The sequence below is a fragment of the Homo sapiens genome, chromosome 1, assembly GCF_000001405.40.
Source record: "Homo sapiens chromosome 1, GRCh38.p14 Primary Assembly".
NCBI lineage: Eukaryota > Metazoa > Chordata > Mammalia > Primates > Hominidae > Homo > Homo sapiens.
Window position 1 is genome coordinate 108680644 of NC_000001.11, and position 23523 is coordinate 108704166.

General features: G+C 39.8%; 1 protein-coding gene across 20 annotated transcripts, besides 6 other annotated features; it reads left to right on the plus strand.

Annotated features, from left to right (window-relative positions):
• Positions 11319 to 11508: an enhancer, noted in NCBI's record as "active region_1425". NCBI's record gives its function as "activates an Ori minimal core promoter by ATAC-STARR-seq in GM12878 lymphoblastoid cells {active_cell/tissue: GM12878}" and the evidence as "EXISTENCE:reporter gene assay evidence [ECO:0000049][PMID:35858748]".
• Positions 11319 to 12006: a biological region, named in NCBI's record as "NANOG-H3K27ac-H3K4me1 hESC enhancer GRCh37_chr1:109234711-109235271".
• Positions 11446 to 12006: an enhancer, noted in NCBI's record as "NANOG-H3K27ac-H3K4me1 hESC enhancer chr1:109234711-109235271 (GRCh37/hg19 assembly coordinates)". NCBI's record gives its function as "activates a minimal SCP1, AML or CMV promoter by ChIP-STARR-seq in naive H9 embryonic stem cells {active_cell/tissue: H9 hESC(naive)}" and the evidence as "EXISTENCE:reporter gene assay evidence [ECO:0000049][PMID:30033119]".
• Positions 11589 to 11918: an enhancer, noted in NCBI's record as "active region_1426". NCBI's record gives its function as "activates an Ori minimal core promoter by ATAC-STARR-seq in GM12878 lymphoblastoid cells {active_cell/tissue: GM12878}" and the evidence as "EXISTENCE:reporter gene assay evidence [ECO:0000049][PMID:35858748]".
• PRPF38B (pre-mRNA processing factor 38B) lies at positions 11667 to 22285 on the plus strand. 20 transcript variants are annotated; one of them, NM_001349758.2, is made up of 8 exons: positions 11667 to 12224; positions 12947 to 12999; positions 15059 to 15137; positions 15400 to 15551; positions 15634 to 15694; positions 17167 to 17220; positions 17961 to 18184; positions 18519 to 22285. In NM_001349758.2, exons 6-8 carry the CDS (start codon positions 17215 to 17217, stop codon positions 19375 to 19377), a joined length of 1089 nt encoding a protein of 362 aa, NP_001336687.1. In that variant the 5' UTR covers positions 11667 to 12224; positions 12947 to 12999; positions 15059 to 15137; positions 15400 to 15551; positions 15634 to 15694; positions 17167 to 17214; the 3' UTR covers positions 19378 to 22285. The 20 variants fall into 20 exon arrangements, 18 of the variants coding, with proteins under 18 accessions (NP_001336687.1, NP_001336696.1, NP_001336699.1 ...); NM_001349767.2 differs by lacking the exon at positions 17167 to 17220 and adding an exon at positions 17304 to 17374; NM_001349770.2 differs by lacking the exon at positions 17167 to 17220 and adding an exon at positions 17304 to 17374 and having other exon boundaries at positions 15059 to 15127.
• Positions 12569 to 13129: an enhancer, noted in NCBI's record as "H3K27ac hESC enhancer chr1:109235834-109236394 (GRCh37/hg19 assembly coordinates)". NCBI's record gives its function as "activates a minimal SCP1, AML or CMV promoter by ChIP-STARR-seq in naive H9 embryonic stem cells {active_cell/tissue: H9 hESC(naive)}" and the evidence as "EXISTENCE:reporter gene assay evidence [ECO:0000049][PMID:30033119]".
• Positions 22870 to 22959: an enhancer, noted in NCBI's record as "active region_1427". NCBI's record gives its function as "activates an Ori minimal core promoter by ATAC-STARR-seq in GM12878 lymphoblastoid cells {active_cell/tissue: GM12878}" and the evidence as "EXISTENCE:reporter gene assay evidence [ECO:0000049][PMID:35858748]".

Here is a 23523-nt window from a genome sequence, read left to right on the forward strand (position 1 = left end):
TGGTGCCACGGCACTCCAGCCTGGGCAACAAAGCGAGACTCTGTCTCAAAAATAAATAAATAAATAAATAAATAAAAATAAAAAATAAAGTAGGATGACTGCATGTCCTTTCATTGTCAAACAATTTGAAAACCAATAGATAAATGTTTTTATCAGTCAATTCCTTCATCTCCACCTGAATAAGGTGCTTCAACTTTGTTAATGGTTAAGAAAAAAATTCTTAACCATTAATGGTTATTTTATATGGTAATATAATTAATGGTTATATAATTAATGGTAAAATTATATGCCAGTTCTTCTCCAAGATTTCTTCAACAAGCTTATTTCAAGTTTCATTGCCTTTCTTGCTATGTTGACCTGCTTATATAAAAGCTCGGCAGCTAAATCACCAGCAAATTGCTTTCCCTCAGCCTCCCCGGTAGCTGGGACTACAGGCGTGTGCCACCATGCCCAGCTTTTGAACATCTTTTCATATGCCTATTTGCCACCTGTGTATCTTCTTTGGTGAGGTGTTGTTTAGGTCTTTTCCCCAATTTTTAATTGAGTTCTTTTCTTATTGTTGAGTGTTAAGAGTTCTTTGTGGCCAGGTGCAGTGGCTCACGCCTGTAATCCCAGCACTCTGGGAGGCCGAGGTGGGCGGATCACAAGGTCAAGAGATCGAGACCATCCTGGGAAGGTGAAACCCCATCTCTCCTAAAAATATAAAAATTAGCAGGGCGTGGTGGCGAGCACCTGTAGTCCCAGCTACTTGGGTGGCTGAGGCAGGAGAATCACTTGAACCTGGGAGGCAGAGGTTGCAGTGAGCCAAGATCGCACCACTGCACTCCAGCCTGGAGACAGAGTGAGACTCCATCTCAAAAAAAAAAAAAGAGTTCTTTGTATATTTTGAATAAAAGTCCTTTATTACATGTGCCTTTATGAAATGTCTCTTAGCTATCTTTAAATTAATATCTAAATTTTTTCATCAAAAGTTTAAGTAGAAGACATGGAGATCATTGAGGGAGTTCATTCCACCTTTGAGTCTTTACCCAGAGGAGCCCCGGTCCACGTGCGTGTGTGATATGATGAGGTTTCTCTTCAAATAATCTGATCAATCCTTTATCCCCCTCCCACTTTTTCCTTTTTCTCCTCTTTTCCTTTTTGCCTTTGTTAAATGCCCAGGCACACCACAGTACTAGGTGTTATCAGTACCAGCTCACATTCCTTTCCTTATTTGGAAAGAGGACTAACTTTACAGCTCATTACAGACACCCCTTCCCTTCCTCTCTACTTCCTTTTACAGGCCCATCTTATCTAAAAAATCAAATGTTTAGCCAACCGGGATTAGTTTAGATTGCATGACCCGACCCCGGCCAATGGGGAAAGGGTACAGGGGCAGGACTTGCATCAGGAATAAAGGCTCTTGTGCCCCTTTGTTCAGGTGTGCTCTCATGGCGACTGGCCAAGGAGGCACCCCTCTGCACAGAAGTAAAATTGCTTTGCTAAGAATCCTTTGTTGAAGTGTTCAATTTCCTTAGGATTTTAAGCGTTATTCCTAACACGTGGTTTAGATCCTGATCCCCCAGATTATGCTGTGTTTTAGGGAGGAATAATAACTGACTCTTGGGGGCCATGTGTGGAGGGTGCTTGGGGAGGTGTAGGAAGCTCTGTGACATCCCTCACCATGGGCGCTGAGGTTCCATACTGGGATTAATGAGACGTTTAGAAGGTGGTGACCTGCTTTGTGTTTGCCTAGGGACTTTTCTGAAGAAAAGAGATCTATTTGATCCTAGACTTGGAAATGTTAAGCGTTACTAGTCCAGGCTCCTTTTTTTAGATGGTAGGAATAGCTGGTCCAGAGAGGAGATTTCCTGAAAGTTACATGCTAGTTTGGATAGATTTGGGGATGAGGACTCAGTGTTCTTTTCCCTGTATCCCTTAGTTGTAACCTGGAATAGCTAGATCCAGACACGGGAACCTTCAAGTTTCAGATGGCAAATGGCCCTTGCATGGCCACTCCACTGCTCTATTCCCCTCAAACAAATAAGAGAAAACCCACAGTTAGACTCACTACCTGTGAGTTTACTAACCCAGAGTCAGGCTGGCTTGAACTGAAATGCCTCACTTAGAAGAAAAGCTTCTTATGGCCTGGACAGGACAGTGAGACTACCCAGACTCTATAGATGACCCAGAAGTGATTGTTTTCTTCTACGGTTGATTATATATCTTATATTTGCTTGTAAGGGGGGACTTCCTGCCTTGGTAGTTTAGCCAGTTAGAGCTTTAGCCAATTACAGCCTCAGCCTTTATACACTGACAACTTAAGGTATGATTATTGAGCTCTATAGGCAGGTCACTGCACAGCTTCTATAAATTATCCATTCTTTTTGTTTCTTAATTTGTTTTTTAATCGTAGTTCTTTAGTTCTGCCACTTTGGTATGATTGCTTAGGGGAGAGGTAATGCAAACCCCTTCCTTTAATCACCTGAACAAAGGCCCTTTGACTATCCCCAACATTTATGAAAACTTAGAAAATGTCATTTTACAGGTAATATGAATCAAATAAACTGGTCAGCCTGAAAGATTATAAATAGCACTGAGTTATTGATTATTGATTAAATTATTTGATTATTTCCTCCCCTATCTTTTTATGAGCTCCCTTATTCAGAGGTCAGTCCTCTAATTTTCTTGCTTTTTTTCTACATGAGATCTTCACTCTTAAATGGGCCTGGTATCCTCCAAGCTGGAGAATCTATGTCTTACCCTTTTCCAAGGCTAAATCTCTGGGCTTCTGCTATGCTAGGGAAGGAATCTGAGCATCTCACTGATTTTTTTTTTTTTTTTTTTTTTTTTGAGATGGAGTCTTGCTTTGTCACCCAGGCTGGAGTGCAGTGGCACAATCTCGGCTCACTGCAACCTCAGCCTCCCGGGTTCAAGTGATTCTCCTGCCTCAGCCTCCTGAGTAGCTGGGACTACAGGCACATGCCACCATGCCCAGCTAATTTTTGTATTTTTAGTACAGACAGGGTTTCACCATATTGGCCAGGCTGGTCTCGAACTCCTGACCTCCTCGTGATCTGCCCGCCTTGGCCTCCCAAAGTGGTGGGATTACAGGCGTGAGCCACCATGCCCAGCCGCATCTCACTGATTCTTATAGCAGACTTTCTACCATTCCTTATATTTTTAGCCCATCATGCTGTCTTCTAGGATTAGCTGGTGCTCCCAATTCCTGAGCCTTATGCAGGGTTTAGCTGTGTAAATCAGATTGCTCCAAAGCCTGCTAAGATCCCTATTTCTCAAGTCTGCTCAGGTAACGACCACTTGACTCATCTACTTTGCAGGTTTTCAATATTTTGTTGCTATTTCTATAAGGCAGAAAAAGAAGTGCAAATCAATTATAAGCATGTGAACAAATATTCAATGTCACTCAAAATGTAAATTAAAATAAACAATGAAATACCATTTTTCATCTATCAGTGAGTGGGAAGGAAGGAGTTAAGTAGAAGACCTATAATCCATCTTCTCCCTTTATAGAGCAATATTCCCAGGAAAGCAAGCAAACATATGATTCTTATAAATATGGTAATTACAGACCTGGCAAACTAATGGTATCTGCTAACAAGAAAGTCCCTATCTGGATATGGAGTGGATAAAATTTTATCCTAGTGACAAATATTTTTATGTTCAGACATCTCCTATTGGTCACATTATTATATAAAACTGCCTATGTTTTAAAAATGTTTCATTTCCAATACGGCTGTTAAGTTCTGAAATTTTTTTCTTCTGTTTGACTGTTTAAACAGTTACTATTAGGACATAACTGATATCAAAATAACATAGATATAAATATTGATAAGTAATTACTAAACACAAAAAGTAGCATTTTATTGTAACTATGTCTTTTGATGAGATGATATGTCTTTTTAGCAATTCATATAGCTGTTTATGAATATTACTGATTCAAAAAATGAGACAGTTTAGCATCAATACTATCCCTATTTTTTTATTAGATGTGTTGAGAAACCTCATTTATGTAAATGAGTAAATGGGTCTCAAAGTTTTGTTATAGCAGTGTGACAATTCTTTGAAAAAGTTCCAAGTTACATGCTAAAATGACTTCGTGAGCTTTCATCTAAAATTATGGTGAATGACCAGGTGCAGTGACTCACATCTGTAATCCCAGCACTTTGGGAAGCCAAAGTGGGAAGATCACTTAAGCCCAGGTGTTCAACACTGGCCTAGGCAACATGGCAAGACCCCCATCTTTACAAAAAAACAAAAATAATTAGCTGGGCATGATAGCACATGCCTGTAGTCCCAGCTACTTGGGAGGCTGAGGTGGGAGGATAGTTCGAGCCCAGAAAGCGGAAGCTGCTGCACTCCAGCCTGGGCAAGACCCTGTCTCAAAAATATATATATATATGTTTAATGATTTCTCAGTGGACAATTTGGTTAGGTCCTTCACCTATTTTGTTGAAAGCAGCACACTGGAAACCACCAGACTTGCAAAAGGAAATTTTACCTGGTCTTTCCAACACCATTTTTTTAAAATGGCACTTTGGTACCTTGAGGTTTTTATACCTCAGGACAACGCACTATTGTAAGATCTGGATGAGTTAGATGTGTACCTTTCTTTTGCAGCATGGAAGAGGAGGAGGCAGGAAAAGAGAACCCATATTACATCATCACTTTTAGATACAAATATAGCATAGAAGTTGAGGACCTGGAAAGTGAAAAAGTGAATCCCTTAAAACAATCCGAATGTCCATGTATACAGGAGAACCTCACAAAACTATGTTATTGTACTACTTGTAAGTTATTTAAGAAATTTTTAAAGGGTAATATTGATTATGCTACATTTTCATAGTATACTGACTTGAGAACTTAATCTTTTCTCCACTTCATAGCGCCTGCTTATTTTGTTTACTCAGAACCTGGGTATGAACCTGAATGTTTCCTTCCCTATCTCATTCCATTCTTTCTTTTAGTGCCTACTGCTAACTGCTTGATTCTGTTCCCCATTCAAATTCCTACCAGGATCTGGAAACCCTAGATCAATTCACAAGGGAGCTATATAACAGGTGCCTGGCTAGCATGTAGATTAGTGCCACAGGTGGTCCAACTGGCTGTGGTGAGAGAGCCAGGGTTGCTTGGTATAAATCATGGCCACATAAGTTTGCCCTGTCAATAGCACTGTGAATGAGACAATTTCACTTACAAGGAGCAATGGGTTTACAAAGGCCAAATAAAGAAGGGACCAGTCAGAACTCTTCAATCCTGACTTCATTTTGCAGCAAAAGCAATTAACAAAAGGATAAAAAAAGGTTTGGAATCCATTACCTAATCTCATTTGGGCCCAGGTGTGACAATCACTCATTCAGTCCAGTACTCTGTCTCTGATCAGACATACAAAGACTTGTCTTGTAAAAGATAGGCTGGGCCAGGTGCAGTGGCTCACGCCTGTAATCCCAGCACTTTGGGAGGCCGAGGTGGATAGATCTCCTGAGGTCAGGAGTTCGAGACCAGCCTGGCCAACATGGTGAAATCCCATCTCTACTAAAAATACAAAAAAATTAGCCAGGCTTGGTGGTGGAGGCCTGTAATCCCAGCTACTCGGGGGGCTGAGGCAGAAGAATCGCTTGAACCCGAGAGGCGGAGGTTGCAGTGAGCCGAGATCGCACCACTGCACTCCAGCCTGGGTGACGAGAGCGAGACTCTGTCTCAAAAAGAAAAAAAAAAAAAAGGGCTAGGTGCGGTAGCTCAAACCTCTAATCCCAGCACTTTGGGAGGCTGAGGCAGGAGGGTCACTTGAGGCCATAAGTTCAAGACCAGCCTGGCCAACATACCAAAATCCCATCCCTACTATAAATACAAAAACTATCTGGGCCTGGTGACAGGCACCTGTAGTCCCAGCTACTCGGGAGGCTGAGGCAGGAGAATCACTTGAACCCAGGAAGTGGAGGTTGCAGTGAGCCAAGATCCCACCACTGCTCTCCAGCCTGGGTAACAGAGAGTAAGACTCCATCTCAAAAAAAAGATAGTGACAGTTATCCCCTCTTGTGTAATTTTTCCAAAGGTTTGAGATATAACCTCTGAATATTTCTTATCAGCAGCTTAAAATGAATCCAGTATCAACAAATTTATGACCCATCTGCTGAGCAGATCACTTCCATCTGTAACCCTGGCCATGCTACATAGTTGGCAGCCACACAAAAATGTCCCTGGCAAACACTGTATCAGAATTTAGATTCCTCATGGGAATTAAAGTTAACTGTTAGATTTTTTAAAATAAGACTTCTATAACATTTTCAAGGTGAATTTAAATAACTTCAATAATTTTCATGTAAAGTTTTCTAAAATATATAACCCCATGCCATAATCAAATGACCATAATTTAAATAATTCAGGTTCATTCTTATGTTATCTTACATTGTAATATTCCTCCCTTGAATAAAACTGCTGCATCTGTGAGACGTATATCTTCTTTCCCCTGACATGGCTTTAACTGACTTCCTGGACTGTTCTCACATTCATTAAAGGCTTTGGATCAGTCTTACTTTCCAGCCACGTAGAACCAATAATTCTTTCATTTATTTGTTATCTCAATAAATAAATATTTACTTAGTACCTACTATATGTCAATCACTGTGTGCCTGGGGCCTGGAATGATTAGATGAAAGGCATAGACCCTTCCTCTGGTGGCCGGAGATGACAAGCAGATATTCAGCCCCATTCTTCAGCAAGTATGCATTTGTATGAACCACTAGTTTTTATTTTTATTTTTTTTGAGACAGAGTCTCACTCTGTTGCCCAGGCTGGAGTGTAGTGGCACGATTTGGGCTCACTGCAACCTATGCCTTCCAGGTTCAAGAAATTCTCATGACTCAGCCTCCCAAGAAGCTGGGATTACAGGCATGAGCCACCACACCCGGCTAATTTTTGGGTTTTTTTTTTTTTTTTTTTTTTTGGTAGAAAAGGGGTTTCACCATGTTGGCCAGGCTGGTCTCGAACTCCTGACCTCAAGTGATCCACCGGCCTTGGCCTCCCAAAGTGCTGGGATTACAGGCATGAGCCACCATGCCAGGCCACCACTGGTTTTTAATTTGTCCCTGAAAAAATAGCCAAGTGCCTTAATAGTGACAACCCATTCCAAACACATCATCTGTTCTTTCGTGCCTCAGAGACTTTGCACAGGTTTGCCCTACCTAGAATATCTGTTCCCCTTTATTCACCTAGTTAACTCCAAGTAATTCTTAACTCTCAATTCATAACTCATCTGATTCAGTGTTTTGAAGTAATAACCAAGGAGATGGGTAGTTTTGTCCAACACCCTTGATTCTTCAACACAAACCACCAATTGCTTCAGATTTTTAGTTCTTGCGTACTTTAGTCAATGGCTTCTTATGTTACTCTAGATTTGTGTTGTTCTGAACGATGAAATGTTCAGTTTCTGTTATTTTAGTTACACATGGTCATCATTTTAATCATTTATTCAAGAATGATACATGTTCACTGAGCACCAATACATATCAATATGCCAGGCTTTTTTTTTTAATTGATGGAAATATAAAGGACCTAGAGTAACCAAAGAGACTTTTAAAAGGAAGAATCAAGTTGGAATACTTACTCTACCTGATTCCAAAACTTACTGTAAGTGATAGTAGTTAAGATAGTTTTGTATCAGTGAAAAGATAAACACAAAGATCGATAGAACACAGCCAGAAGTAGACCCACACATGGTAGGGTTGATTGATTTTTGACAAAGTGTTAAAGCAATTCCAAACGGAAAGGAAGGTCTTTTCAACAAATTGTGCTGGATCAACTCAGGACCTGTGGGGGGAAAAAATGAACATCAACCCTACCTCACACCATAAGCAAAAATTAATTCAAACTGGATCTGAGACCTAGATGTAAAAATCCAAACTATACCTTTTTAGAAAACATAGGAGAATATTACACTCTCCTGTGTGGTTGAGATTGGTAGTTCTCAGAACACAAAAAGCAGGAATCACATAAACAAAACAAAAAATGGATAAATTGAACCTGATTAAAAAAAAAAACTGCTCTTTGAAGGACATCATTAAGAAAATGAAAAGGCAACCCAGCACAGGGGCTCACACTTGTAATCCCAGCATTTGGGGAAGCTGAGAAGGGAGGATTGCTTGAGACCAGGAGTTTGAGACCAGCCTGGGCAACATAGTGAGATCCTGTCTCTACCAAAAAATATATAATTAGCTGGGTATGGTGGCACATGCCTGTACTCCTAGTTACTCGGGAGGCTGAGGCAGGAGGATTGTGTGAGCCCAGGAGTTTGAGGTTACAGTGAGTTATGATCACACCACTGCTCTCCAGCCAGGGTGACAGAAAGAGACTCTGTCTCCAAAAAAAGAAAAATAAGATAATTCAATAGCAAGCCAAAGACTGTGTAAAAATACTTGAAACACATATATACACAAAAGACTTACATACAGATCATGTAACCAGTCCTTGCCACTCAACAATAAGACAAACAAAATAACAAAATTGGCAAATTATTTGAAGTTACTTCACAGCAGAAAATATATAAATGACAATAAGCACCTGAAAAAATGTTCAACATCATTAGTGGTAAGAGAAATGTAAATTAAAGTCACAATGAGATACCACCTTATACCCATTACAATGGCTAAAAAAAAATGTTCTGTTTTCCTTTTTAGAGACAAGATTTCTCTGTCACCCAGACCGGAGTGCAGTGTTGGGATCATGGCTAACTGCAGTCTCAAACCCCTGGGCTCTAGTGATCCTCCCTCTTGCGCCCCTGAGTAGCTGGATCTACAGGCAAGCACCACTACACCTGGCTAGATTTTTATTTTTTTGTAGATGGGTATTACTACATTGGTCCGGGTGGTCTCAAATTCCTGGCTTCAAGGGATCCTCCCTCCTCAGCCTCCCAAAGCACTGGGATTACAGGTGTGAGCCACTGCTCCCAGCCAGAATAGCTAAAACTAAGTGTTGGTGAGGTTATGGAGCAACTGGAACTGTCATACACTGCTGGTGGGAATGAAAAATGTACAACCATCTCAGCAAACAGTTTGGCTATTTCATAAGTGCTGGGTGAGGTGTCAGAGCCCTAGCACTAGAAAGTGGTCAACTCACGGGTTGGTAAGAATTTACAGACAACAGTATAGGTTTAAAAAGGAAACTTCTATTAAATAGAATGCTGCAAAAGAGTGCAGCGGGGCGCCTCAGAAAGAGAGGACTGAGTGTGCCAGTGAATTTTTCCTTAGGGATATTTATGGACCTCAAAGAGGGAGCTTACGGGCAATTTGGACCATATTAGCCATGTAGGTCATGATAAGTGATTACATTTGTAGACATTCTGGTGCCTTAATGTCAGCAAGGGTCACACAATGAGTTTTGATATGCATGCATTCAAGAGATGTATAGAAATTCTAGTTACTTATAAATTTTGGGGAAAAAAAACTGGAACCAGATGCCTGTGTTACATAACAGGAAAGTCTAATTACTTCTGAATTCCTCAGATAAGAAGTTTTTGTCTCCAGGGCCTGCTGGATGGTCACCAGGTAATTTTGCTCTGGTCATTTTCCCCTGACAAATAACTTGGTCAAATCTTGGACCCTTTATATTCCCCCATGCTCAAGTCAGCCTGTTGCATATCATGGTCTCAAGAAAGAGAAAATAGCATAGTGAAGAGGGATGTCAAGTCTATCTGGCTACTTCCTGCTGAAAGAGGGCTCTCCAGCCTGGGCCAGAGAGTGGGACTCTGTCTCAAAAAAAAAAAAAAAAAATCCAGACAGTCTAGTCACAAATGTTCACAGCATTTTCAACAACAATTTGTGTTGTTTCTAATTTGGGGCTATTACAAATAAAAATGCTGTTCCCATCAATGATTAGATAAACAAAATAGTGATAAATCCATACAACTGAATACTAATCAGTAATTAAAACAAAACACAACCTGCTGATACATGCAATAAGGAGGCAAAAAAAAAGAGAACACTGTGTGGGGATAATGATTTCATTTATTTAAGATTCAAGAAAATGCAAACTAGTCTCTACTGACAGAAAGTGGTTGCTTCGGTATGAGGTTGGAAAGAGAGATGGATTACAAAGGGCACAAGAAAACTTTTGGGATTGACAGAAGATTATGTTTATTGTAGTAGTGGTTTAATGGGTATACATATATGTCAAAACTGATCAAACCAAACTTACGGCTTTATATATGTGCAGCGTAGAGGTCTTCAATTATAACTGAATAAAGTTTTCTAAAAAATGGGGATAAAAATAACATCTTCAGCCTGTTGTAGGGATTCACTGAATATGTTAAAGCACTTTATCATAATACCTGGCTCCGAGTTTGATGCCGCTGACACTTAGATATCAAACTCAACCTCTCTACCAAGCTCTTCATCCAAACAGACTAGGGGTAAAGACTGTCTAAGACTATACAGAAAGATCATGTATCTGAGGAATTAAAAATAGGGCATAAGATTTGGCAATGTGTCACTCGGCAAACTCAATAAACTAGTATTATCAAGGCAAAAAATATATACACAAAAAGAACTGGGTTAAAAAAAATTTTTTCTATGGACTTTTAACGTGATAACTCATGACACAGGGGTTAGGATCTTCAGTTTTCCTTTGGAAGTTAATAAAAACCACTATAGAGAAAAACAAGATTTGCTAGTAAGAAGGTGAAAACTGCTTCTCCTCTCAGGGTTCTAGTTCTCTTGCAACCTAAAACAAAGGAACCAGACAGGATATCCACTTTCGTACCGTACAGCTCCAAACACTAATCAATCACTCCATTCACTTATCTTTTCTATTTCCTTGTATTCTGTCAAACAACTGTCTCTTGGTTTAAATACTTTTCTGCTGGTCTTCGCTCTCTCTCTCTCCTCTTCTGGTTTATTTTCATCCAGATGTGGATTTTCCCCAAAGTTTCCATCTTATCCTTTTCTCCTCCTGTGTATGCGCCACTGAAGTCAAGATTGCCACATTCAAACTCCCCACACATTCACACACCCACTCCCAATATACAGTATCTCGCCCAATGTTTATCACTCCGGATACATTCCTAGAATCCAAAGATCTGGAGCAGGGAGAAAAAGAAAAGGCGCCTACCAGATGCCTGGAACAGTCTACTAGGCACTACAAGTACATTAGCTCTTTCAATGCTCACAACAGCCCAGCCAGATGTTATCTCAATCTTACGGATGAATAAATTTAAGACTTCTGGCTGGACACTAGAGGCTGGCGAAGTACGTGACCTTTGATCAGAATCTCCTGGAGGAGTGGGGTCCCTGACCATTGTACCTTCCAGAGAACCTTAAAACTGAGATCCCAGGAGACCCCTCTCGGATACTCTGCAGAAGTCAGAGTGACGATATTAGCAAGCACACCGCAGCCATGCGAACCCTTCCTGGCTCAGCTCCCGACAAAAGAAATCAAGCCCCCAGTCAAAATACAACAACAACGGATTAGGCCTACAACCCTCTCCCCCGGCCCCCAAATTCTCAGGAGAAATCCCCTAAGAGTCAGGTACGGAGGTCACTGCAGCGACTTCAGCGTGCAGAGAACGCGGGGACCTAGGAAGAGGACGCTCCAGCCCAACTGAGCGTCTCTGATTGGCCGCCAGCTCAGCTTGGAACGCTGGGGTGCGTGGCGTCATATCCGCCGGGCCCGCCATCTTGTTCCCAGGGGCAGTTGGCGGAAGAGATCGAGCTCCCTGGCTGCCGGCTCGCCTTCTGCGTGGAGTTCTCGCGGTCTGGGTTTCGCTGTCTGCTCTTGGCCCGGGGTCATTTTGTCGGCGTCGGGTGCCCTCTCTTGCCCAGCTGGGGCACAGCGAGGCGGCCCCTTCTCCCGACGACGTTCGATGGAGTAGGGTCCCAGACCGTTGTCCCGAAGAGCGAGATCGAGCTTGGCCCCCTCCCCCCCCTCCTTCCCTCCCTCCTTCCTTCCGCCGCAACATGGCTAACAACAGCCCCGCGCTGACAGGCAACTCGCAGCCGCAGCACCAGGCGGCTGCAGCTGCGGCTCAGCAACAGCAGCAGTGCGGCGGCGGCGGCGCTACCAAGCCGGCGGTCTCCGGCAAGCAGGGCAATGTGCTCCCGCTCTGGGGCAACGAGAAGACCATGAACCTCAACCCCATGATCCTGACCAACATCCTGTCGTCGCCTTACTTCAAAGTACAGCTCTACGAGCTCAAGACCTACCACGAGGTGGTGGACGAGATCTACTTTAAGGTACGAAGTGTGTAGGCCTTGGCTTTGGGGGTAAGTTCGGAAGAGGGGGTATGGAGGAAACGGGCGAAGGCGGCCCCCGAAATCTGAAGATTTGTGGGTGGGGGAAGGTGGTTCGGCGGAGGGGTGGCTGCGGCCTGTAGTGTGTCTGGGAGGGGTCGGACTGGGGCCGCCCTCTCGTTTCCATTTTAGATTTTTAGGGCCGGGAGAGCCCGCCACTATTGATCTCTCTCCTCCCCCAACCTCCTGCCCACCCCTGGGGGGAGTTGGGCAAGAGGGATGGGGGAGAGGAGGAAAGAGTAACAGAAGCCTTTCCAGTTTACAGCTTTAAAATTATTCCTTTTGACGTGGATCTGCTGAGCGCCAACTTGTTGGTGCTTCTCCCGCTCACCCCTGGCCAGGGCGTGTAATGACTTCAGTATTGGCCTCGTGTTGTTGGTACTCACTATCCGATCCAGGCAGGGAAATGGTCAGTGCGTGTGTGTCGGGTGGGGTGGGGGGATGAGGGTGGAGAGGTGCCATTTCAAGAGGTGTACAGAAGGCCTGGAAATTTTCCCAGCAGGAAGTCAGGAGTAAGAGGTCTCAGCCACCTGTGCATTGGGCTAATTTAGAATTATCTGGGCCCTGGGCTTCTGCGGCAGGGTCGGTGCTGGCTTGGCTGTGCTGGGGAGCTCACCTGGCGCCTCCTCACTGCACTCTTGTCTCAGTTCTTGTTTCGTTAGCAGGATTGACTCAGTCTTGCAGCGAGGCTCGGAGCAGCCCAGGGTCGCAGGTAGAGGTATGCACTATTAATCATGCTCAATCGCCATAAATGCATTTCCCTGGTTAAATGAACGACTAATTAGATTTTTGTGGGTTTTTTTGGCCATTGCTTTTGGTCCTTCACCAATTAGGTAGGCTTTTTCCACTTCCCTGCAAATTATGTAGTATAAAAAATACCTTCCAGGCCTCCGAAAGTTAATTTCTATTTTAAAGAATATTAATAATAGCCTTAGTGGTCTTTAAAAATTTTATCCGGAGCATCTAATACACAATCCATTTTTGTCTATATTCACTCTTAAAAACTTGACAGACCGCACAAAGTGTTTTCTATCATTTGAACGTATGTGTAGAGATGGTAACAAAAGGACATTCTCTTTTGTCTTGCCCACCTTTTCCCCCAGTTGAGTAATTAGGTTATTGAAGGATTTTGAGAGATTAGTTGCTTTTTATAGAAAACATCTCTTGAATACAGTTCAACTTTGGGTTGATAAAGTACACAAATAAATTTGGAATCCTCTTACGAGAGTAGGTCTGATTGTAATTCTATGAATTAGTTTTTTTAGCTTTTAAAAGGTAAGACCTTTTTAGCATGGATACAGTATGGTGAATAACATTTAATCCTTAGCTTTATTTATGCAGTAAACTTTAAACAGTTGAAAATTGGGTTCCTGCTCTTTCTGCGGCAGGTTCTGTTTTCTAACATAGGCAAAATGTTAATGTAATAGAGGAAAGTCTCGTTTTTAAGTTTCAAATGTGTTTTGAAACAAGATTCTACCAGGAATTGTTTTTAAATTCCGTTAAAAAACTAAAGACCCAGTTTTTTTACTAATATTAAGAAGACTTAAGACTTTCAGATCAAATACTCACTGAAATTTATAAGTTTCCAACTTTGTAATTTTATTTTGTATGCATCCAGCCCTGCCTTTGGCTAGCTTTTAAGGAATTGAAACATCTTTTACATGGCAATCTGTGGGGAAGAAAGGAAACGTTAAAGCACTGCAAAATAGTGTAGTGCTTAAACTTACATGCACGCTTTTCTATCTAAAGCCATTGTTCAGGACTACAAAATTTACCATGTGGGTGGAAATAGAATTTTAGAAATATGCAGTGAAAAAACAGGATTTTTTTTTATGTTTTTAAAAAAAAACAAAGATGGGTCTTCCCAAAAGACCTTTTTGGATTCTATTTTAGAGTTAATATTCTTTTGTTGTTGTTGCTGTTGTTGTTGCTATTTTTAGATAAGGACTAGTTTTTGTAAGATGTTCCTCTTAGCAAATATGATACTGTATCATCTTTGATGATACTTAGTATATGCCAGTGACTATTCACACTCAGTTTTTGACACAATTTATATTCTGGGGAATAATTGGATTGGTTCACACATAATTAGGCTGAAGCTTAATTACAACAATGATCTCTGTAAGTGTGGCCTTTGTAATTTTATCTTTAATCAGGAATAAACCTGACCCTGGTGGAAAAAATGTACAAATAAAAAGTTCCATAATTTTGCATCACAAGTAACTCGTTACTGTTTTAGAAAATTTTCTTCAAGTAATTTTCCTTAATTTTATAATGTAGATTTTAAATTACAATAAAATTGAACTATTGAAGGTGTTTTGAAGTTTTTAAATTAATGCTTAACGTTAATACTTTTTGCTTTAAATTGGAGACTTAAATCCATTTTTAAAGGAAAATGTTAAGCAACCCATAAGTTAAATTGTCAAATATTATCAAAGTTAAAATATTACCAAATAGTTTTTGCAACCAAGTGAGACTATAGAAATTTTCTGACTCCCAGATGTAGATATCAGCTCTTTATAAAGCTAGTTGAGTGGGATTTCTCCTCTGCAAAGCTATTAAGGTTTTGTTAAACCCTAGTAGCTTTATGGGTGCTGTCTAAATGTCTAAGCAGTTTTTCCAAAAATGATTTACACACTTAATATCAGTAAACATATACTTAATGCCAAAATAATTTTGGAAGAGCTGCTCTATTATGGACTTGGGTTTACTTTTATCAGGCTTTTAAACAAATTCAAAGTATGAATGTTTGTTGTGTTCCTCTTTTCTATTTTCAGGTCACGCACGTTGAACCATGGGAGAAAGGAAGCAGGAAAACAGCGGGCCAGACAGGGATGTGCGGAGGGGTAAGTAGAAGTACGTGCATTTTTCAGTTTTTCTGTGTCTAATAACTAAGTTTATATTTAGAGAACTAGAGGCCTGTCAATTATACACTTGAGTGACAATTTTTTTAATCCAAATTCAAGTGTTCAGTGAAATAGGGTTAGAAAAGTGTTACTTTTTAATGCTCCTTAGTTCTGGATTATGGATTGTTATTGATACCTAACAGGATTAATCAATTGGTGTTAAGAGTCCGTTAATTATTTTACTACTTTTTCTTAACTCGTTTCCCCTAAAGGTTCGAGGTGTTGGAACAGGAGGAATTGTTTCTACAGCATTTTGCCTGTTATACAAATTATTTACCCTGAAGTTAACTCGAAAGCAAGTGATGGGTCTTATAACACACACAGACTCTCCATATATTAGAGCGCTTGGATTTATGTATATAAGGTGAGCGTACATTTATGTACATTTCCAGTAAATATCTCATTTTAATTCACATGTGTTTAATAATAGTCTTTTGTAATTCTAGATATACACAGCCCCCTACAGATCTGTGGGACTGGTTTGAATCCTTCCTTGATGATGAAGAGGTATGTCAACAAGGGTAATAATTTGTTTTCTTCTGATTACTCTCATATTTTTATTATCTTTTATTTATTGGTGGTTTAATGTCTTCAAGAACTTCCTGTAGTTAAATTTATTTCAGTGAGATACTTTTGGAATTAATGTCCTTTTACTGAGACCTGATGGCTTTTATGTATTTTAGGGTAAATTTCTGAAGTTTTATTTTCTTGTTTTAAAATTGTTTAAATGTGTTTGGTAACTATTGGAAAATTTTCTCTTCTTAATTATGTTCTGTGTATTGTATTGATCCTGAATTGTATAGTTAATAGTGACTTTTCAAGATGGGGCATGCTCAAGATCGAACAGATAATAAAAGATATGCACATAGAATACTAATTGTAGCTTTTTTTTCTTCTGGAACATTTCAGTTCTTCACCCTCTAGCTTCTTCCAAATATCAGTATTCCCACTTGCATAGAAGTGCAGAATTGAAGAGTTGGGTGTTACATAAATAGGCTAAGTGTTTGGATGACTTGTTCAAGGTGACAAAATTTTAATTCCAGTTTTCTGACTCCTAGTACACCACACACACCTTTAAAAAAGAAATTTTTTAAATTGTAATTCGAGTCTCCCTAATTTGAAATCTGAAATACTAAGTTAGATTTAAATCGTGTATGCATTGGCTGGGCGTGGTGGCTCACATTGTAATCCCAACACTTCGAGAGTTCAAGACCAGCCTGAGCAATATAGTGAGACCTCATCTCTACAAAAAAAAGTTTAAAAATTAGCTGAGCATAGAGGTATGCATCTTAGTCCCACCTACTTGGGAGGCTGGGGTGGGAGGATCACTTGAGCCCAGGAGACAGAATTTGCTGTGAGCCAAGATCATTGCCACTGCATTCCAGCCTGGGTAACACAGTAAGACCCTTTCTCAAAACAAAACAAAATATCATATATGCATTAATTTACTTGCATGGTGAAGTCCAACATGTCAAAAATGAAATGATGAGCTGTATTGTCCCTATGTCTACCCAGTCTACTACTTTGTGTTTTAAGGTTCATAAGACTTTTTGAGTGCTATGTGTCAGTAGTCTATTTACAGAGTTCATCCAAAGAATTTATTGAATTAAAGGATGGTTCTAATGGAAATCTATTGTGTTTTGTTATTACATGCACACCTAAAAAAAAAAAAAATCTCATTTAGACATGGAGAATTTTTATTTTTCTCTTTTTTTTTTTTTTTTTTTTTGCCTGTTAACTGAGTTACTTCACTCAGAAGAAGCAAAACGTGTTTTAAATCACAATCTTTAAGGTCTTTTTATCTTTAGATCAGTTTTTCAGACTGAAGTGCTTCTCCCTTCTGTCTTTAAAAAAGCATGTTCCTCTTCATAATTGGTGTTGTATTGGTTTTGTTTCTGGATGCCTCTATTTTATGTTTTTTATTGTGTTTACAAATCTGAGGTCCTCTATTTAAGCTAACTTATTGTTTTCTTCCTTAGATATCTGCAGCGATTATATTTGGAAATACTGTATATCTGAACACTTAAATGTGTGTGAGTGCAAGCAGTTTTACCTTTAGCTCTTGTTTTCCTGTTTAGATAACAAATCTCACTTTCCTTGTGTGCTTGCACTATAGGTTTGGGACTGACAATAGCTGACTAACATGTCCTGAGCTGTGAGAGGGCATAGCAAGAAGGCCTTCATGCGGTAATGACCCTTTTCAGAGACAATGGTCATCATGGATTATGCGTTTCCAATTATTTGTTCATTTATTTATTTTCTACATAACTAAATTAGAAACCTCACTGCTTCATGGCAGTTGGTTTGCTATTGCTTCCAGTTTTATTAGGGCTTCATTTTATATTAGAGCTGTTAAAAGATAACCTTTAGACAGGAATTATCTAAAGTAGATCATATGTAGCTAGGTTATGGTGCAAGGTATATGATGTGTGCAAATATGTCCACAGAAATAAATACATAGTAGGTATGTGGAATGTAAATTTAAGTCAATCGTTCCGCATAGTTTAGAAATGTAAGGGGCTTTTTCATATTGTTAACTGAGTGAGATCAGTTCCCTTTATGCCTGTGAGGCTGCAGGGTTTGTTCTCACTTGCATGCACACACTAAGCCCAAATATTTCTGTTCATTCATTGTCAGATCAGGATATGAAAATAAAATTTTTCTGTTAGTTTTTTTTGTATTGAGATTCCAAAGATGGTAATATTTTTATAATATTCATGTATATATGGAAATACTTTTTTTGACGGCTAGGGTATCTTTTGTGTTTCTGTAGGACCTAGATGTGAAGGCTGGTGGAGGCTGTGTAATGACCATTGGAGAAATGCTACGATCTTTTCTCACAAAACTGGAGTGGTTTTCTACCTTGTTTCCAAGAATTCCAGTTCCAGTTCAAAAGAATATTGATCAACAGATTAAAACCCGACCTAGAAAAATCAAGAAAGATGGGAAGGAAGGTGCTGAGGAAATAGACAGACATGTTGAACGCAGACGTTCAAGGTAATGTCACTCTTGAATTATGCTTATTTTTCATATATGCTTTATACAAAATTAATGGTTCTGAGAAATAGCAAGTTCTTAGGAATTTGTTTTTACTGTTCATTTTATTAGTTTGTCACTTTTACCCCCCAAAGATTATTTTCTTCCTTTCAGGGCTTTTTCTATAAAATTATGCATCTGTAAATGAGAACAATAAAATTTTTTGCTTTAATGATTCTTGACATGGCCTTAAGCTTGAGGACATGAATAAATAATGCTGTTGAAAGTTTTACTGTGAAAAGAATTGCATATGTTTTATTCATTGAAATTTTCTTTCTCCCTCCGCCTTCCTTAGGTCTCCAAGGAGATCTCTGAGTCCACGGAGGTCCCCAAGAAGGTCAAGAAGTAGAAGTCATCATCGGGAGGGCCATGGGTCTTCTAGTTTTGACAGAGAATTAGAAAGAGAGAAAGAACGCCAGCGACTAGAGCGTGAAGCCAAAGAAAGGGAGAAAGAACGGCGAAGATCCCGAAGTATTGACCGGGGGTTAGAACGCAGGCGCAGCAGAAGTAGGGAAAGGCATAGAAGTCGCAGTCGAAGTCGTGATAGGAAAGGGGATAGAAGGGACAGGGATCGAGAAAGAGAGAAAGAAAATGAGAGAGGTAGAAGACGAGATCGTGACTATGATAAGGAAAGAGGAAATGAACGAGAAAAAGAGAGAGAGCGATCAAGAGAAAGGTCCAAGGAACAGAGAAGTAGGGGAGAGGTAGAAGAGAAGAAACATAAAGAAGACAAAGATGATAGGCGGCACAGAGATGACAAAAGAGATTCCAAGAAAGAGAAAAAACACAGTAGAAGCAGAAGCAGAGAAAGGAAACACAGAAGTAGGAGTCGAAGTAGAAATGCAGGGAAACGAAGTAGAAGTAGAAGCAAAGAGAAATCAAGTAAACATAAAAATGAAAGTAAAGAAAAATCAAATAAACGAAGTCGAAGTGGCAGTCAAGGAAGAACTGACAGTGTTGAAAAATCAAAAAAACGGGAACATAGTCCCAGCAAAGAAAAATCTAGAAAGCGTAGTAGAAGCAAAGAACGTTCCCACAAACGAGATCACAGTGATAGTAAGGACCAGTCAGACAAACATGATCGTCGAAGGAGCCAAAGTATAGAACAAGAGAGCCAAGAAAAACAGCATAAAAACAAAGATGAGACTGTGTGAAAATATTTTGTAAAAGTGGATCACATTGAATCCTATAAATGATTAAATCTGCTTTTTTCCCCCACGTTGAGATTGTGCAGTAGTTCGCACTCCTCAAGCTCTCCCTGTAGGCTGCATTTTCATTTCCTCTTTCGTGTAGGGAAGTGCCTTTGTAATTCCATTTATTGCATTGGTGTTTTCACCCAATTGTTAAGTTTGATACATGATGCACAGATTGTTCTTGCATTTTTATTGTTTGTTTTTGAAATGTACAGTCTGTACATATGTCCTGAAAATGTTTTAATTCCTTTGGCATGGTTGCCATGTTGGTTAAATTTGTATAAGGCAATAAACTGCCACTAATCTATTTTTGTTTTGTAGGTGTGGGATTATGGTTTGTGTACTGAAGTTAGCATGGCTGTGCTTTTCGTAATAGAATGCTAAAGACTTTGAGAATGGATCTTGGATGTCTATTATAGGAGAAGTATGTGCTGCCAATGTACAAGAAGGCAGCATTGTAGGATTAACATTCTTGTCTACTGTATATTATCTTGGAAGGCTCTTGTTAATATGTTACACTTAATATTCTCCACAGTTACCTTTAGAGAGAATTTATGAGAAGTTAGTTTCTGATGCAGAGGTTTTTAGGCTGTGATTTCATCAAAAGTCCTTTTAGCATTCTACCTCAAAGGGACACTTAGTATGCCTAAAATTTATTCACTTAGTTTTCCTTTTTTATTTGAAAAAATACATGACATGTAATCTTTTTTTCTTGAATTCTTTCTCAGATTTTAAAGTACTATATTAAAGAAAAAAATTAATGTCTAAAGCCTAGCATTCTTGCAGAACCCTATACTAACATGTAATGGGGAGAGGGTGGGGCAGATGAGTAGAGAAACAGATTCAAGCCTCAAGCTTCCAAAGCATTTTTATAAATGGAAAATCCTTAAATTATGAAACAGCTTGATATAGTGTCCTTTTTTTAAAATTCAGAACTTTTTTTATTGATAATGGAGATTGCTGTTTGAGTTTTTAAACTTAATCTAGAACAGAGGAGTATTAAAAGTAATGCTGTGCTGCATTATTTAAGACTATCAGCAAATTATTTGATAGATTGTTCTTACAACTTGTATTCTGATTACAGAACCATCATGAGTGTGGAATAAATACTGGATTAAATCCTTTATCCTGGGTCTTGGCTTTTCCCCCATTTGTTAAATTTTTTTAGCATATTTATATTGTGGAAATTGATGAAACGTCAGTAGAGTCACACTTTGTGTACAGGGATGTCTTAGTGCCCAGATGACAAGTGAATTTTGGAGAAATGCATAGACTGGGATTGGGCATGTGGTAATCAATAATCTTTATTAGAATACTTGATAATGGCAGTTCCCTTTGTCAGTGGTTGTTACATGTGTCATTTGATTACTTTGTTCCATGTCAAAGACGTTTATTGGGATACCTTTTACTTGGACAATATGTTAGCATTTTTTAAAATTTGGACTTGAAATTCTTTAAGATAATTCACCCAATTCTTTTTAGAAAAGAAAATAGAGGCCCAAAGTAATGATGTCAGTGCTAGGGCTAAAACTCAGTATTCTGACAGTGTAGTGAACCTGGCACGCACATTGAGGTTTGTTTTATCTCACTGGTTATACTGGCCAACTAATGCGCACTCAGAAGCCACCTTGCAAAAATGTTAAATGGAGCAAACGAGTACACTTGCAAGAGTCCTCCATATGTGGGCTTAACATATGTACCACTCCATTTTAGAAAAATCTCATTAAATGAATTCTTCTAAAAATGATATGCTTTTTTCTTTTTTAAGAAAATTCCTTTGTCTTTTAAATTGAGCATCAAGTGAATTAGTGCTATAGACACCCAGAAGTTAGAAAAACCTATTGTATAATATGAAAGCCACTAAATTTGTCTTGTGTTGAAAATCTACTTTTAGCATACCTAAATTATGGAGCTACTACTTTGGATATGGTTCCATGTGAAATGTTTTATCTGACTATTTTAAGTAAAATGTGGAAAGAATTTAAATTACTTCACATGGAGGTGAAAGAACTATCACCTCGATTGACAGTTCGATGATCGTCACTACATTTGATTTCTTGTGGGTTTTTAGTTTGTTTTTGTTTTGAGACGGGCCTGGCTCTGTCACCCAGACTGGAGTGCAGTGGTGCAATCTCTGCTCACTGCAGCCTCCACTTCCCTGGCTCAAGTGATCCTCCGAACTTGGCCTCCTAAGTAGCTGGGACCACAGGTGCATGCTAGCACACCCGGCTAATTTGTATTTTTGGTAGGGTTGGGATTTCGCCATGTTGCCCAGGCTGGTCTTGAACTCCTGGCCTCAAGTGATCCACCCACCTCAGCCTCCCAAAGCGCTGTGATTACAGGTGTGAGCCACCACTCCAGTCCCTTCTTACGATTTTTAAATATGTTTGCTTTTGAGGAAAATTATGGTAGGTGTGAGAACATGTAAATTGTGCTAGTTATTGCTATATATATGCATGATTTATTTGGAGAGTGGCTTCCTAAGAAACTGGGAAAACAAGTGGCTATGAAAGACATCTCACATTTCTTGAAACATGAGAACATTTGGACACGAACATCACACGCCGGGGCCTGTTGTGGGGTGGGGGACTAGGGGAGGGATAATATTAGGAGAAATACCTAATGTAGATGACAGGTTGATGGGTGCAGCTCACCACCAAGGTACATGTATATCTAGGTAACAAACCGGCACGTTCTGCACATGTATCTGAACTTAAAGTATAATTTAAAAAAATTTTTAATACAGCTTAATAAGCATCCTCCATCCAGTTTTTGTACTTACTGGAATGATTTCACCTTTCCATGTATTAAAATCTTTTGCCTGTTTTTAATGTTCAATTTGCAATTAAATTCTATACATGGGCGAGTATATCATCAATCTTAAACTTTTAATATAAAGTGTTCATTTTAATATTGCCCTGTTTTTATCTCCTAACTCTGATTTAGTTCCTCAGTTCCTCTAAGGCAATGGTTGTTTTGAGTTCTGGGCCCACTTTTTAGTAATCTGATGAAAGCTACCATCCTGTCTAAAAAAAAGTACCCCACTAGGTGCAGTGGCTCACATCTGTAATCCCAGCACTTTGGGAGTCCGAGGCCAGTAGGTCACCTGAGGTCAGGAGTTTGAGACCAGCCTGGCCAACATGCTGAAACCCCATGTCTACTAAAAAGTGGAAAATACGGGCCGGGTGTGGTGGCTCATGCCTGTAATCCCAGCACTTTGGGAGGCCAAGGCGGGCAGATCACAAGGTCAGGAGTTCGAGACCAGCCTGGCTAACACAGTGAAACCCCGTTTCTAATAAAAATACAAAAATTAGCCGGGTGTGGTGGTGTATGCCTGTAGTCTCAGCTACTTGGGAGGCTGAGGTAGGAGAATCCCTTGAAACCAGGAGGCAGAGGTTGCAGTGAGCTGAGATCACGCCACTGCACTCCAGCCTGGTTGACAGAGCAAGACTCCGTCTCAAAAAATCAAAATACAAAATACAAAATACGCCGGGTGTGGTGGTGCACGCCTGTAATCCCAGCTACTCCGGATGCTGAGGCAGCAGAGTCGCTTAGAACCTGGGAGGCGGAAGTTGCGGTTAGCCGAGATCTCACCACTGCACTCCAGCCTGGGCGAGAGAAGGAGGCTGTGTCTCAAAAAGTACCTTAAAATTTGTGTGTAACTTCAAAGGAACTCACAAACTGCCCTAGGACTTTGGTTCTGTTCATTAACTGATTTTTTTAAAACTATGCTTAGATGTACAGTGTTTGGGAATTAATAAACCAGAAACTTAAGTTCCTAAGAGTACTTAGGCAGTTAGTTGCAAAGGCAGTATCTGTTTTGTTATTTTACTTAGAGCTGCAGAGGAAGAAAAAAATGACAATGGTATTCACTTAATTCTCTTCCCTAAAAGTTGTGCTTTATTATAAAGTTTTTGGTTAGTAGAGATGAGGTCCCACCACTGGCAGTTTGTACATCTTTCAACTGATGCCAACGTGCAACCTCAAACACTGACTAGTGGACCAATTCTCAGGTGATATTGGCCAACTGATGGGCGTTGATTCTGTTCCTAGTTTGATTCTATTACGTAAATGCTGAAATCAGCCTTGAATGACTAAATTATAGGA

Coding starts and splice junctions, on each gene's coding strand:
- PRPF38B (NM_018061.4), top strand. CDS start 11,949: ATGGCTAACAACAGCCCCGCGCTGACAGGCAACTCGCAGCCGCAGCAC. Junction 15,552..15,633: donor CTTGGATTTATGTATATAAG/GTGAGCGTACAT, acceptor TTGTAATTCTAG/ATATACACAGCCCCCTACAG. Junction 15,695..17,960: donor CCTTCCTTGATGATGAAGAG/GTATGTCAACAA, acceptor GTGTTTCTGTAG/GACCTAGATGTGAAGGCTGG.